A 16073-nucleotide genomic window follows, 5' to 3' on the forward strand; every position below is an offset into this window, starting at 1 on the left:
GTTTGCCAAAGCAAAACAAAGCAATATAACTTTGTAATGAAGAGTTTAATAGTGAAGTCAGCATGAGCTTAAAGGATAGAATGTAATGAACAGTTGATAAAAGTTTGATAAAGATTCAAAGCTTATGTTGATTATGAGAATGAAGGCTTAGCATTTCCATTATTGAACATTTTTCTGCAGCTTTTTTCAGCAGATATTAAGCTTGTAAAGAGCAAAAGCTTTCAAGAATCAAGTCTTTAAGAGAAGCAATAATAGCATTTGGAAAATTTATTAAAATACAAAAGGATGAAAAGTCTTTAAAGAACTAATCTATGTGGCAATCTTGCATTCCTTTGTACAACTAAATTGAATCCAAAGTATTAAACTGAAACCGTGGAACTGTAATTACACAACTAACTAGCCACCTGCAGTTTAGATAGTGTCAAGTGAATTGGGTCAGGTTGGAATAAAGTCAAATACTTAAATGAGGAATAAAACACTTCCTTAGCCCTGTTATTGGGCTGTTAGTGTGACTATGAACTGACTGACACTTTGAATAGCAAAATCTTCAGGGTTTCACACATTTGCCCTTATGTTATCATTTAAAAGTATGTAAAAACATACAAGATGAAAGTGCTTAATTTGACCAGAAATACTCAGGGTATGAAGGTCAAACGGACAATTCCTTCTGCTTTTTTCTTGTATATGTAAAGTAAGAACTAAAAATCAAACTTTCCAAGTATTTTCCCATAAGATATAATAACAAATACGAACACTTGTATCATAACATAATTTCTAAAAGTCTTTCTCATATACTGTCTTATTTGCTCCACAGCTGCTGAGAAAGCTTAGGCTCTGAGAACCTGACTTTTTCAAGATTCTTTAGCTCACAAATGGTGGAATCAGGACATAAATTCAAATATTCTGATTTCAAATTCCAAAATTCCAAGGCTCTTAAAGAACGTTGCTACTAATTACGAGCCTATTATATTATAAGTATATAAGTTCCACCAAAATTCAGCAATATTTTCTAGAAATTAGAATTATGAACCATTGTATATTGTGTTAGAAGTGAGAAATAAGAAATAGCAAGAAATATGTTTTTATAGCAGGAGCCTAATAAGCATTTCAGGTGTCTCCTCCTTAGTAGATATAACAGAAACTTTATAATAGTAAAAGTATAGGTTGAAATAGTATAGGTTGAAGATAAATAATTGTTTAATATGGGAAACTCAAAGTAAAAAAATAAAGAGGGCATTAATAAATAACAACTTAGCACTCAATACTTCTGGAAATTCAGAAGTCACTGCCTGGAACTACCTATTTTGACCTATTGTCTTGAGTAGACATTACTTCCAGATACACAGACTTACACTGACAGCCATAGTAAAAATGTACAGTTTTGCTCATGCTTCTATATATGTAAATTGTACCTTTTCAATATGTGTCAGTTTCTGGGCAGACAAAATATAGTCCCCCGATCGAATCGAATAATGTAATTCAAATGTAGTTTTTTTTTTCTTTGCTGACAGCATGAGGCCCTGTAGCACAGTGGCTTGCAACAATAGCCGAACACAGAGATTACAAGACATCTCTTGGACTCAGCTGGACTTCCTAGTGTGTAATGCAAAAGACCAAGTAGAAGTTTATTTACAGTTTAACTCTGATATGAAAGAGAAGTTTCATTTGGTGTCAACTAGTGTGTATGATACTAGAAATGAGTTTATCACAAGTGGCTTGAGAAATTTCTGTATTCATGATTTGGGATTGTAGCTTACTACTCCTTGATATGTAAAGGATTTTTTTGGTCAATGAACAGAACTCACCCACACTTACAGAAGCTTTTTTATACTTTGTGGGAGTTCATGTTTTTAGAAAATATTCATCCAATCTTGCTGCTGCAGCTGAATTAGACTCTATCCTGGGAACAACAAACCTTAGTTTTGCTGTTGCTCTAGGTTTTTTTTTTTTTTTTTGACTTAAAAATGTATTTTTAATGTACTGCAACATATTTAAGATCTAGTACAATATGTATTTCAGACATATGAATGAATTTTACACACAATGAGATTAAATAGCTTTGAGATAATCTCAGTTAATGCATCCTAATAGAGGTAGAGCAAAAGGTCATTTGATTTCAATTGTGTAAATAGTTGAACATAAAGGAGAGAAGGATACACCAAGAACACGAGAGCCTACCAGAGACAACAGTTATGTTTCTTGGTTATAAATATTTTTAACTTGTTGAAAAACTAGTTTAACAAATAGGTACAATAGATATTGTCTCAGATTGTCCTAAAATCTGACAATTACTTTGAATAATAAGCAAATGCAAAACACTTTCACAGAAGACAATGCAAATGCATTTATCTGGAAAAGCACTTGATCTTCTCTAGGAGCTACCGGATTTATTACAGAGAATATTATACGATAGAACAAAAAACACTAGTGTGTGCTTTATTGGTGAACGGCTAGAGAGATGAACCTGACAAAGAGATCCACATAATGAAAGAAAGAGTGTAGAGAAAAAGTACAAAGAGGCAGGACCTGTGGGTAGGCAAGCATAAGAGGGAAAATTTGGCAAGGTGTGTAAAGCAGTTTTAGGATGTAAAAATTGATGAGTAAAGAAAGGGACGTCAAAGTTTTAATAGACATGTAATTTAAAATGGAGATAGGTTTGTTTATCTGTATCTATCAATCATCTACCTATATTTTATAGCTATTAGGCTCTTTTTCATTCACATGCCTTTTGGATCTTCCTGATATGTTAAGGTTAAATATATCTATAAAAAATTGGGGGCTTCCATATTTTGATGTCAAAGAGATCCGTAATTAACAAAGATAACGTAATGTATGACTCTCAATTTTCTCGTTTCTAATTTAATAATTATAACATTATCAGTAATGATAGTATCTGTATCTATCAATCTATATATCTATATTATTAAATCTATATCTAAATGTAAATCTAGACATGGGCATAGATATGTCATTTATTAAGAACAGTACTAGACAATTTACATTTTAACTTTGTAATAAAAACCCAACAAGGCAGGAAATACTACTATTTATTATTAAACAGATGAGGAAAAAGATTTCCAGTAGCTATCCCACTTAGTCTACATCGCAGAACAGATTCCCAGATCTTCACCAGTTGATTATGTTTTCTAAGAAAATCTTTTTTAAAAATAAAACTGAGAGGAATATTGTAAAGTTACATGAGGTAATAAATGAAGATTTTGTGAAAGAAGATCATTAAGTAAAATTGAGGGACAAATATATGTTGAGAGCACATATTTTATAGCCTAGGCTGCCTGCATGCTTACTCTACCAACTATATGACATAAGGAAAATCATTTAACCTCCCAATCTCTCAGCTACCTCATCTATAAAATAGCATATTGACAGAAGCTACCTCTTGGGCTTGTTTTGAGAAGTAAGTGAATTTAAAAATAAATTATAAAGCATATGGAATAGTGCCAAGCATAAAGTAAGCCTTATGTAATTATCTACTGTTATTTTAGATAGCCCATTGGTTGTTTTTATTTTTTATTTTACAGTCTGGTGCTAAAAGTTTTTAAAAAAGCAAATAAATGTTTGCTGTTCCTCAGTGAGCATAAATAAAATTTGAATATTGTTTGGGAGTCCGAGGTGGGCAGATCACCTGAGGTCAGGAGTTCGAGATCAACCTGGCCAACATGGTGAAACCCCGTCTCTACTAAAAATACAAAAATCAGCCAGGCATGGTGGCCCATGCCTGTATTCCTAGCTACTAGGGAGGCTGAGGCACAAGAATCGCCTGAACCCAGGAGGTGGAGGTTGCAGTGAGCCGAATCCCGCTACTGCACTCCAACCTGGGTGATAGAGCGAGACTTCATCTCAAATTAAAAAAAAAAAAAAAATTGAATATTGTCCCAGTTCTCTGGTTTCTATCTAATTGACCTTCGCAAGACTCACCAAGCGGGTGCCCCATTTACTGAGCCCGCAGCTCTCAACTCCTCGCAGAAGGGAGTGTGTGAACAAAGCGGAAACTGGAGTACAGGAGCGCTGAAGTCAGCTGGCCGCTCTGGTGCCTGCAGGAATGAACTCCATTCACTTGGACCGCTGTGTTCCACCCCTCACGGGAGGGGTGCACAGGTGAGCAAGTGCAGGAGCTGGGGCAAGCGCCCCGGCAGGAGCCAACTCCGTGCCAGCCCTGCAGCAGCATGTGGCGGAGGTGCCCGCGACCCCTGAAGCCCTAGAGCGAGTGTTCTTTTAGCTCTGCTGTCCGTGGACGGCTTAAGTGTTCAATAGCTCAGTGGACCCTTTGCCTTTTCGCATGAGATGGCTGCCTTCTGCCTGTGAGGGCAAAGAGTCAGTGTGACAGCCTTTTTCATCCGCACTCCTGGTACCTGAGCTCTTGTCCAGCTTTTGGGAGAAATGAAGTCACCCGAACGAATTGAAAGATGGTAAATGTGGTAGATTTTATTGCTGATGGAGGTGGCTCTCAGTGGGAAGGGGAACTGAAGAGGAGACGGGAGGGAAGGTAATTTTCCCTTGAAATCTGAACGTCTCTGGCCAAATTCTTCTCCTAAGTTACACTGTCCAGCTGTCCCTCTGAAGTCAAGCCGCTTCTCTCCAATGTCCAACTGTAGTCGCTGACGTCCAGATGCTTCTCCTCTCTCTGCCAGCTGAGTTTGGGTTTTTTTTAATTGGCACAGGATGGCTCCAGGCAGGGCCACAGGTGGTTTTGGAAAAGGCAACACTTGAGAACACAAAGTGAGTTCTCACTTTGGGCGGTGGTTTCAGGCTTCAGGGTGGAGTTTTGTCAGGAACCCACCCTTTTCTGCCTAGAATTTCTCTGTCTCCTGTCCCTATCAGAAGCAGTTATATCTCCGTGTGGTGAAGTTTATTTTAAAAAGAAAAACAAACTGATATCTTCTGGTTGCTATGTGACTAGTGTCTCCTTTGCTGCCACAGGTCTTGTCAAGGACAGGCCACATGAGGACATGCTCCAGTTCTATCTTAAAACACTTCTGCCTTCCCTGTTTGTGACCACCCTATACGAGATTGCTGTAAAACGGCTCTTGACCAGACTGACATCTTCCTGTATTTCATAAAAATTTCCAATCCTAGTCTTATGTTGTACATTTCATTGCTCTACTAATCTGGCTATGGATTCCTTTGAATACCTGGATGGCACAAGGAATCTGGTAATCTGGTTCTCCAGATGACAATGATGTTAAAATTACATTAAAATCAAATGTTAAGGCTGGTGCCATATTCATAACATCTATATGTTAGGTTTTCTACACGTGTGCTGGCTACATAGTAAAACTCAGTAGTAGTTTTCCCTTCTGTACTTCTGAAAAAGCCTTGGAGTATATTATGGTCTCTCTATTCTGGCCTAAACAGTAAATATTATTTATATTATTTTCAATATCTTTTAGCCACCTTCAATATGTTTTCAAGTTTGTAACTCAGCAAATGTTTTTTATATGCTTCTTGGGCAGGTACTTTCTCAGAACTTGAATGACTTACTCCTTGAAATTTCATTATGCACTTGGCCTGTTGTATTGGAATAGCCTTCCAGCTGGTCAGAAACACATTGGGATACCAATTTTATTTTTTGTTTTCTTCATATTGCTTTATGCTCTACTTCTCTAGCTGTTTCTAGTTCTTTTTGTTAGATCTTCATTGAGTCAGCAAAACTGTTTAGCAGTTACTATATGGTAGATAGTGTGGTAGGTACCAAAACTTAAAGTTAAAAAAATAATTTTTATATCCCTGCCATCAAAAAGTTTACAAGCCAGTGGGATGGGAGAAGGGATGAAATACAAAACAAAAAGCAATTAAAAAAAAATAACGTAATGCGTTTTTTTCAGACAATTTGGTGTTGTACATGTGTCAACATTTTATTACAATCTTGCTGCAGGGAAGAAGACTTGTAGCTAGTCACTCGAAAGATTAGATTTCCTTTTCTTTGAGACATACTATAAGAAAAGTGAATGGTTAGCTAATTATTGTACTTCATAAGAGAAAAAACAGCTAGTTAAGAATTATTAAACAATGCCTTCAAGACTGGTTCAAGATAGTTAGGTTCCTCTCAAGGTTAACAGTCCACTGAATAGGTGAGTAGCTGAGCTCTCAGAAGGGTCTTATTTCCATTAAAGTGTATTTATTGGATAATTTTTTCCCAAAAATATTTGATAAATTATAACATGAACAAAGTATCTGTCTTTGGCCAAGGTTGGGTCAATTTTTCCCGTCTTACGTGAGTTTGTAAAAGTAGAACTGAAGGTCTGAATAAGAGATTACTAATCAACGATGATTGGGGAAGAATGAGGGTTAGAAAATCTCAGACAAACATTATTGCTGAGATAGAGATGACACAAACAAATGGAAAAACATTCCATACTCATGGATGTGAAGAATCAATATTGTTAAAAATGGTCATACTGCCCAAAGCAATTTACAGATTCAGTGCTATTCCTATCAAACTACCAGTGATATTTTTCACAGAACTAGATAAAAACATTCTAAAAATCATTTGGGATCAAAAGAGCCTGAATAGCTAAAGCAATCCCAAGCAAAAAGAGCAAAGCTGGAGGCATCACACTACCCAACTTCAAACTATACTAAAAGACTACAGTAACTAAAACAGCATGGTACTGGTGTGAAAACAGACACATAGATCAATGGAACAGGTTAGGGAACTCAGAAGGAAAGCTGCACACCTACCACCATCAAATCTTCAACAAGGCCAACAATAAAAAGCAATGGGAAAAGGAATCCCTATACATGGTACTGGGATAACTGGCTAGCCATAAGCAGAAGATTGAAACTAGAAACCTACCTTTTACCTTATACAAAAATCAACTCAAAATGGGTTAAAGATTTAAGTGTAAAACTTAAAACTATAAAATCCCTAAAAAAAAAACTAGGAAATACCATTCTGGATATTGGCCATGGCAAAGACTTCATGATGAAGATGCCAAATACAAGTGCAATGAAAACAAAAATTGACAAATGGGACCTAATTAAAGTAAGGAGCTTGTGGACAGCAATAGAAACTATCAATAGAGTAAATGGAAAACCTACAGAATAGAATAAAATACTTGCAAACTCTGTATCCTACAAAGGTCCAATAGCCAGAATCTAGAGGAAACTTAATCAAATTTACAAGGAAAAAAGCAACCCCATTAGTAAGTGAGCAAAGGACATGAACAGATACTTCTTAAAAGAAGACATATGGGTGACCAACAAGGATATGAACAAATGATCAATATCACTAACCATTAGGGAAATGCAAATCAAAACCACAATGAGATACCATCTCACACCAGCTGGAATGGCTACTATTAAAAAGTCAAAAAATAGCAGACACTGGCAAGGTTGTGGAGCAAAGGAAATCCTTATACACTGCTAGTGGGAATGTAAATCAATTTACCCACTGTGGAACTCAGTCTGGATGTTTCTCAAAGAACTTAAAACAGAACTACCATTTGACCCAGCAATCCCATTACTGGGTATATGTCCAAAGGAATATAAATCATTCTACCATGAAGACACATCCATGTGTATGTTCATTACAGCACGAGTCACAATGGCAAAGACATGGAATCCACCTAGATGTTCATAAATGGTGGACTAGATAAAGAAAATATGGGACGAGTATACCATGGAATACTACATAGCCATAAAAAAGAATGGGACCAGGCTGGGTGTGATGGCTCACGCCTGTAATCCCAGCACTTTGGGAGGCTGAGGCAGGTGGATTATGAGGTCAAGAGATTGAGACCATCCTGGCCAACATGGTGAAACCCTGTCTCTACTGAAAGTACAAAATTAGCTGGGCATGGTGGTGCATGCCTGTAGTCCCAGCTACTTGGGAAGCTGAGGCAGGAGAATCGCTTGGAGGTTGCAGTAAGCCAAGAATGCGCCACTGCACTCCAGTCTGATGACAGAGTGAGACTCTGTCTCAAAAAACAAAAACAAACAAAAAAAAAATGAGAACATACCTTTTGCAGTAATGTGGATGGAGCTGTGGGCCATTATCTATTATCCTCAGTGAATTAACACAGGAACAAAAAAACAAATAACACATGTTCTCCCCGGGAGCTATTAAGTACACATACACTCAAAAAATGACCAATAGACACTGGGGCCTACATGAGGGTGAAGGGTGGGAGGAGAGTGAGTATTAAAAAACTATCTATTAGATATTATGCTGATTACCTGGAAGACAAAATATCTCCATACCAAAGCCCACAATGTGCAATTTACCCATGTGACGAATCTGCACATGTGCTCCTTGAACTTAAAATAAAAATTGGAAAGAAAAAAAAAGTATTGCTAAGAAGAAAGGATTTATCCATAGTGGAAAAGGAGTATCTGTCATAATTTGGACCATTGATAAACTGAAATAAATGAATGGGTTCAGTAGTTTACTGTTCAAATCTATCTAAAAGTTCTGGCCTAACTGAGTTCTATGGGAAAAAGATGCTGAGATTTAAAAACTTGTCCTATAGAAATCCACCTTCGATGTGGGGCACCACAAAGATTGAGCCAACTAAGACACAGATGAGCTCTTCCCCACTTTCAGCACAATTAAGCGCATGCACACCTCTGTAAGAGTGTATACAAAGAAGAGGTGTTAAAAAACACACAGTATTTTTTTAACTCTAAAGTGAGTAATGTGTACACAAGATTTTTTGTTTTGTTTTGATTTTAGGGCTGTGACAATTGAGATGGTGGGTCACTTTCTTAAAAATGAAAAGTACATAGTTGAGTCAAGTGATCATATGAATGGTCCAGAGCCAGGAAGGGGCATTTTCCAACATGGAGTTAAGTGTGACTTAAAGGAGGGGTGGAAATCAAGAAAGAATTGGAGAGCTATGATGAAAATGATTGGTGAATTCCACTTTCTGCCTAAAAATATTTTGAAAGCAGAAATCCATATATGTTTTTAGTCACAATCATATAAACTTTAAAAACTGTCTTAACCTGTGTAACTCCTTGATGTGTATTATTTTTATAATTACCTGCTGAGTTCCTTGTATTGATTAGCAGTAAAAGCTTTGACAACCCTGATTAACTAGAGATAATAATATTGAAAGTTAAAGCATTATTGATTACATGACTTTCAGGCAGTATCTAATTTAATTTTGAAAACTACCTTATTAGATACATATTATTACTATTTCTGGAAAAAATTCATGACATTAAGGAAAGCTAGGTAACTAGCTCAAAGTCACAGAGAGTGGTTGGCCTTAATGCAAATAGAAGCCTTTCTTTTTTTAATTCCAAAATCTAAGCTGTCAGTGCTATGCCTTCTGTGCAAACCTTAAGTCTTGAGTTCGAATCCTCCCTCTACCACTCTTGCAAATATGAATAAATTATTTGGCTTCTCTGAGGTACATTTTCTTCCAAGTAATGCACCCAATTTGAGGCCTCATCTATTCAAAACACCCATATCTGTCCTGGACCTCCAGAACTAGTTTCTTTTTTTCCTAAAATGTTCGTCTTTGGAAGAAGAAAGGCAAAGGGGAACACTCTAGAGAAACACCACTTTCTTTACATTGAAGCCAGGTTTAAGGGTGAAACTCTCAAAGGACACAAAGTTTGTTGACTCGTTAGGAAAAGACAAAGTCAGAGGAGGCTAGAAAAGTGGCTCTTAGACTAAACATCAGAATAGCAGTGGGGTCCCTCTAAATGTGTATGACCTCATGATTCTGCCCTCAGTCTTCTTTTGCTTTGAGCTGTTTCTTGGAGCAATCGACAACACCTTGTAAGCCTGTTGAGAGGGCTATTGTGAAGATGGCAGTGCAGACCAGGAGGACGTAAGTATGATTCTAATATTGTCTTTTGGTAATCAGACTAGGAACTCCCTATAAAAAGCAGAATTATAGCCCCAGAAGTGTTTCCATGGTAATGATGTTAAAGGGATGACATAAAAGCAAAGCCCAGCATACCATCAAGAAGAAAAAGTGAAAAGATACAAATCCAGACACTATAGTTAGCTTTCTTTCTTTTTACAGTGAGTATGAATGTGGTAGGTGCTCATTAAATATTTATTAAATTGAATTGAAAATAATATTGTGACTGCCATTGTTTTTTCAGTAATCTGTGTGAGATAATTGAATCAATGACAGAAAGCATAAGGAAGGTATTTTGCATATAGTAAGATCCTGTATAAATGGAAGTGGCTTTAAAAAACGTAATTAAACCAGGCTTTTTCGAGTACTAAGCAAGCATGTACTAAGTACTGAAGATGCAAATACTAATAAATTCTTAGTTCTAGAATAAATAAATATTATGAAAAAGGAAGTGTCAGAAAAAAAGTTGTCTTGGAAATGGGTAAACGATTGCCAAAAAAAAAAATCAACTTGCAAATGGCAAATGAGTTTCCTGTGAGTCCTTTCAGTGGAACACTGAACATTGTCTACCAAACTCTCTGGGGTTATCTGTTACTATAAGCTTGTGCACCTTTGATTGTCTTTATTGACTAGGCTATTTTACAACTCTATAGGGACGGAAGCTGCGTGGTAGCAAACTGATAACAATGAAAATCTTTCTTGTCCATAGAAATGCAAATGAATTTTGTCCAGTAGAGAATTAAAATCTCTGTAAGACATTTTCATTTGAATCAGTTTTAACATTTTTCTTGTTTCCTCACTAATTAATGAGCTAAATAAAATCTCTGATAGATATTCATTTTATATTTGATGAGAGTCATGATTTTACCATCTTGAAAATTATCTTTTCACAGAAGGGAATTACTAAGTGCCTCTTAGGTGCCTGGTATTAAACTTGCCAATGTCTTTTATGCTACCTCATTGAATATTCAAGGCAATTCCACAAGGTGGGAAGACTTTCTTGTAGAGTCCTTGTGTACTGATAAGAGCTCTGAGTTTCAGGAGGAAAAGGTAGGTTAACAAATATTTATGAAACAACATGAGAAGTTCTCTACAAAGATTTAAGGGGGATCCTAAATAGCCATGATTGGTAGAAGTGAACTGAAATTATTGGCTTATTAAACATATGAAATGCTTGAATATATATTTTAATATTAGCATACAGTGTTTTATTATAATCTACATTTAAAACAATTTTATTATGTTATACTTATGTTTGAGAATTAAATTCAGTTTTTTATAAACCGGTAATGTACATTTCAGAAACTTAAAAATGAAATTTGTAACATGCTACTATGCTGATTTTACTCTGAACCTCTTTATTGATATATGAGTTATTTTTTCTTTCTGAGGTAAATAAATTACATTTTATAAAGTATACTGCCTTTTTTTTCACTTAGACGATTAAAAAGCAAAACAAGAAGTAGAAAAACAAGAAGAGAACATTTACCTATTTGTTTGAAAGCCAGAAAATACTAAAAAAAAATAGTGAATTGACTAGGAAATCAAAGTGAAGGAAATACTAGTATTACGTGAAGAATTAAGAAAATGGGATATCTTAGAATTTTGATGCATTTTTTGCAAAAGAATAATGAATCCTATTCTTTCCCTAGAGGAGGTATTCATAAACCATTGCCTTACCTGTTTTTACACATTTTTTTGACTCCCTGACCCCACTCTCAGATTCTTTGCTTATCATGGCCATAACTGTAAGCAAACAACTTTTTCCCCTCCATGATTTAGAAATGGACATTCAGCTACAGCAAGAAGAACAAGCACAATAGGGACAGCAAGCAGTATGAGCTTTATTCACATCTCATTCTGGAGAACTAAGATTAGTGGAAGGTAGGGTCAAAAATGTCCAACCCTGTATAATCCCAGATTTGGTGTTTCTTCATGATGTAGCCAAGATCAAATAAACCTAGTTTCTCCTACAAGTGGCCTTTAGAGTCTCCATTATTATTGAGATGAAATAATGGTGTCCTGTGGGACAACAAATGAGTTCTAGAGTTAGATGGACTTGGGATTGAATTCTGGCTCTGTCTTTTATTAGCTGTCTCAACTTTGCTAAGTTTTCTAACACACCAGAACCTATTTCTTTAGCTGCAATATTAGTATGATAATATGTCCTTCATGGGGATGTTGTGAAGGTAGATTGAACAATGCCATATATTGTAATTAACCTATAATTGATTATTAATATTGGTAACTATTATAAATACAATATAAAAATCAGGTACAATCCTGCTAGAAACAGTTTCATTACATTTCAGTGATCAAATACTTTTGTTTGATGTGGTATTTGGACCTCAGTAATTATAGAACCTATCAAAGCATTCTTAAATAATTCAGAGGTAGTTTATTTTACTTTCTGGCTATGAAAATAAACCTCCACACATGAAAAGCTAAAGTAAGTATGAAATTAAGGTGGCTTATACATGGAACCCCAACATTTCGGGAGGCTGAGGCAGGATGATTACTTGAGGCCAGGAGTTAGATACCATCCTGGGCAGAATAATAAGATCCCATCTTGACAAAAAAATAAAATAAAAAAATTAGCCAGATGTGGTGGCCCTCACTTGCAGTCTCAGCTACTCAAGAGGCTGAGGCAGGAGGATTGCTTGAGTCCAGGAGTGTAAGGCTGTTATGACCTATGATCATACCACTGCACTCCAGCCTGGGCAACAGAGTGAGACCCTATCTGTAAATTTTAAAAAAAGAAAAAGAAATTAAGGAAGTCAGCATGGCCATGTATTGGGCCAGAATTAGTATTATAGGCATTTATTTCATCATCTTAGCCTTTCAACATTTCTGTCTTTTGACAGTACTTCAAGCACAAAGTTTGTGTCCTTAATGTAGCTATGCTTTAGAAATCAGCTCTATGGGGCACAGAATCAAAAAGAAATGTATCTGCAGTACAAATGGAGCAAATTGTTTCATGCAAAATTGAATAATAAAGAATACTACTTATATGAAGTAGTGTGAAGATAGTGGGACATATTCAAATTTTGCACTGATAATTTTCACCAAAATTAATACCTCAACGGATGATGTTTATATAGGTGTATTTCACTGGCCTAAGGTAGAATTTCAGGGTAGGAAGATACATGCCAGAAAGAAATAATTTAGTACTGATTGTTAATTTTTTGTGTGTGTCCCTTTTGCATAGGTAGATGAATATCAGCTCTCGATATTTTCCCCTCCTGATCTTCTAAACAATGACCTCTATAACCTGAAAGAAAATTAGTAGTGTGCAGGAAAAACATTTTTTAATGATCCTGAAAAAAGGTTAATTACCTTCACAACTAGAAACTGTTCATTTCTTCCCCAAACCTCTTCTTAATTCCCTTTGCTGCTCTACCTTATTTGTCAGATATTTATATCTCAAATGATTATTTTATTCCCTAAAAGAATGGGGCCTTTCTTGGTTTAGACTTTGCAGAGCTTTCGTTTATTTTATCGTACAAAATAAAATCCATGACATTTGCAAAGTACATTGATATTCTTTTCATATTTACCTTAAATATGAAGATTCATTTAAAGATATCTGTAAAAAGTGCACCCTGCTATGTTTCACTAAATAAATGTTATTCAATTAATGTAAATAATATCTTATTTTTAAGGATAAAGCTTTTTAAAATTTCATACATCTAATTATTTATCCATTTTTTAAAATTTTTAAATTTATTTATTTATTTTATTTTTTAGAGACAGAGTCTCTTTCTGTTGGTCAGGCTGGGGTGCAGTGGCTTGATCCTAGCTCACTGCAGCCTCAAATTCCTGGGCTCAAGTAATCCTCCCATTTCAGCCTCCCCAAGAGCTGGGATTACAGGAACCTGCTACACCCGGCTTGGTTTTGAAATCCTGGCTTCAAGTGATCCTCCCGTCTTGGCCTCCCAAAGTGCTGTGATGACAGATGTGAGCCACCATGCTTGGCCTGTTTATCCTTAAACTGCTTTTGAAAAATCTTGATTTTAATGGGAATTTTTAACATTATAGGAGCTCCTAGTAGCAGTATTTTAAAGACAATGAAACTTTCAAACTATATATATTTATCAACAAAATGTACTCTAAGCAGTTTTACCAGTAAAGTAATTTGAGCAATAAGTCTCTGACTCCACATGCAAACCACATTTTCTACCTTTTGGCTGCCAAAAAAAATGAATATGGCTTTTGGCTTGGAATTCATTTAAACTTCATTTTCCCCTTTGTTTCAAATTTGTATTTCTTCTCTTCTCAAGAGCATTTTCTATACAAAATTTTTCTATCTAAACTTGCATGTGTTTTACCCAGTTAGCTTCATGAACAATGATTATTTCTTCATCACATTAAAAAAAATGAATTAAAAGGTAAGACTCTATAAATCAATTAGTTCTGGATACTACATAATATCAACCATACAACTTTCTGTGGGTTTGAAAAACCCAGATGTTGACATCATAAGGGCAATACCTGTAGAAAATTGACTGTATCTTTCAGTTTTAGTATTTCACTCTCATCCATGTGAAGAGACCATCAAACAGGCTTTGTGTGAGCAATAAAGCTGTTTATTTCACCTGGGTGCAGGTGGGCTGAGTCCAAAAAGAGAGTCAGCGAAGGGAAATAGGGGTGGGGCCGTTTTATAGGATTTGGGTAGATAAAGGAAAATTACAGTCAAAGGGGGGTGTTCTCTGGCCGGCAGAGTGGGGGTCACAAGGTACTCAGTGGGGGAGCTTTTGAGCCGGGATGAGCCAGGAGAAGGAATTTCACAAGACAATGTCATCAGTTAAGGCAGGAACAGGACATTTTCACTTCTTTTGTGGTGGAATGTCAGCAGTTAAGGCAGGAACCAGCCATCTGGATGTGTACCTGCAGGTCACAGGGTATGTGATGGCTTAGCTTGGGCTCAGAGGCCTGACATTCCTGTCTTCTTATATTAATAAGAACAATAAAATGAAATAGTGGTAAAGTGTTGGGACAGTGAAAATTTTTTGGTGGTATGGAGAGATAATGGGTGATGTTTCTCAGGGCTGCTTCGAGCGGGATTAGGGGCGGCGTGGGAACCTAGAGTGGGAGAGATTAAGCTGAAGGAAAATTTTGTGGCAAGGGGTGATATTGTGGGGCTGTTAGAAGAAACATTTGTTATTTAGAATTATTGGTGTTGGCCTGGATACAGTTTTGTATGAATTGAAAAACTAAACAGAATAAGAGAAGGAGAAAAACAGGTATTAAAGGACTCAGAATTGGGAGGACCTACGACATCTAATTAGAGAGTGCCTAAGGTGGTTCAGCATAGCCTTGCCAGTAAAGATTATTTATTTACTTTAAGAGTTAAGAGTGGCGGTTTGGGGATAGCACCAGGAGATATCAGCTGTGCTGGCTTGGAGAAACAGTGTAAACTGGCAGTGTAAACAAGAGCAGGGCATGTATGAGTAGTTGAGAACGGTGAATAGGAGTATGACTAGACAGAAGATAGTAGGGATGACAAGTTTTTTGGGGCACAGTCCAAGTTGGTCTGGTGTCTGGAATGAGACTGGGGCCTAATAAAAAAAGGAGCTCAAATGGGCTGTACCCTGTAGCATTCCGAGGACAGGCCTGAGTTCTGAGAAGTGAAAGTGGTAAAAGTATTGTCCAGTCCTTTTTAAGTTGGTGACTGAGCTTGGTGAGGTGTGTTTTTAAAAGACCTTTAGTCCATTCTACTTTTCCTGAAGACGGAGGACCATAAGGGATATAAAGGTTTCACTGAATACTAAGAGCCTGAAAAACTGCTTGGCTGATTTGACTAATAAAGGCTCGTCTGTTATCAGACTGTATTGAGGTGGGAAGGCTAAACTGAGGAATTGTGTCTGACAGAAGGGAAGAAATGACTGCGGTGGCCTTCTCAGACCCTGTAGGAAAGGCCTGTACCTATCCAGTGAAAGTGTCTACCTAGACTAAGAGGTATTTTAGTTATCTGACTCGGGGCATGTTGAGTAAAGCTAATTTGCCAGTCCTGGGTAGGGGCAAATCCTCGAGCTTGATGTGTAAGGAAGGGAGGGGGCCTGAATAATCCCTGAGGAGTAGTAGAATAGCAGATGGAACACTGAGAAGTTATTTCCTTGAGGACAGATTTCCACGATGGAAAGAAAATGAGAGGTTCTAAGAGGGGGGCTAGTGGCTTGTACTATAGCATAGCCTGCCTTTGCTGGTGTGTGGCGATTAGGCCTGGTGGAACTGCCA

The 16073-nt window shown here is 36.7% G+C and overlaps 1 annotated feature.

Annotated features, from left to right (window-relative positions):
- Positions 14323 to 14907: an enhancer, noted in NCBI's record as "OCT4-NANOG hESC enhancer chr1:79954251-79954835 (GRCh37/hg19 assembly coordinates)". NCBI's record gives its function as "activates a minimal SCP1, AML or CMV promoter by ChIP-STARR-seq in naive and primed H9 embryonic stem cells {active_cell/tissue: H9 hESC(naive and primed)}" and the evidence as "EXISTENCE:reporter gene assay evidence [ECO:0000049][PMID:30033119]".

Source organism: Homo sapiens, chromosome 1 (assembly GCF_000001405.40).
Source record: "Homo sapiens chromosome 1, GRCh38.p14 Primary Assembly".
NCBI classification, from domain to species: Eukaryota; Metazoa; Chordata; class Mammalia; order Primates; family Hominidae; genus Homo; species Homo sapiens.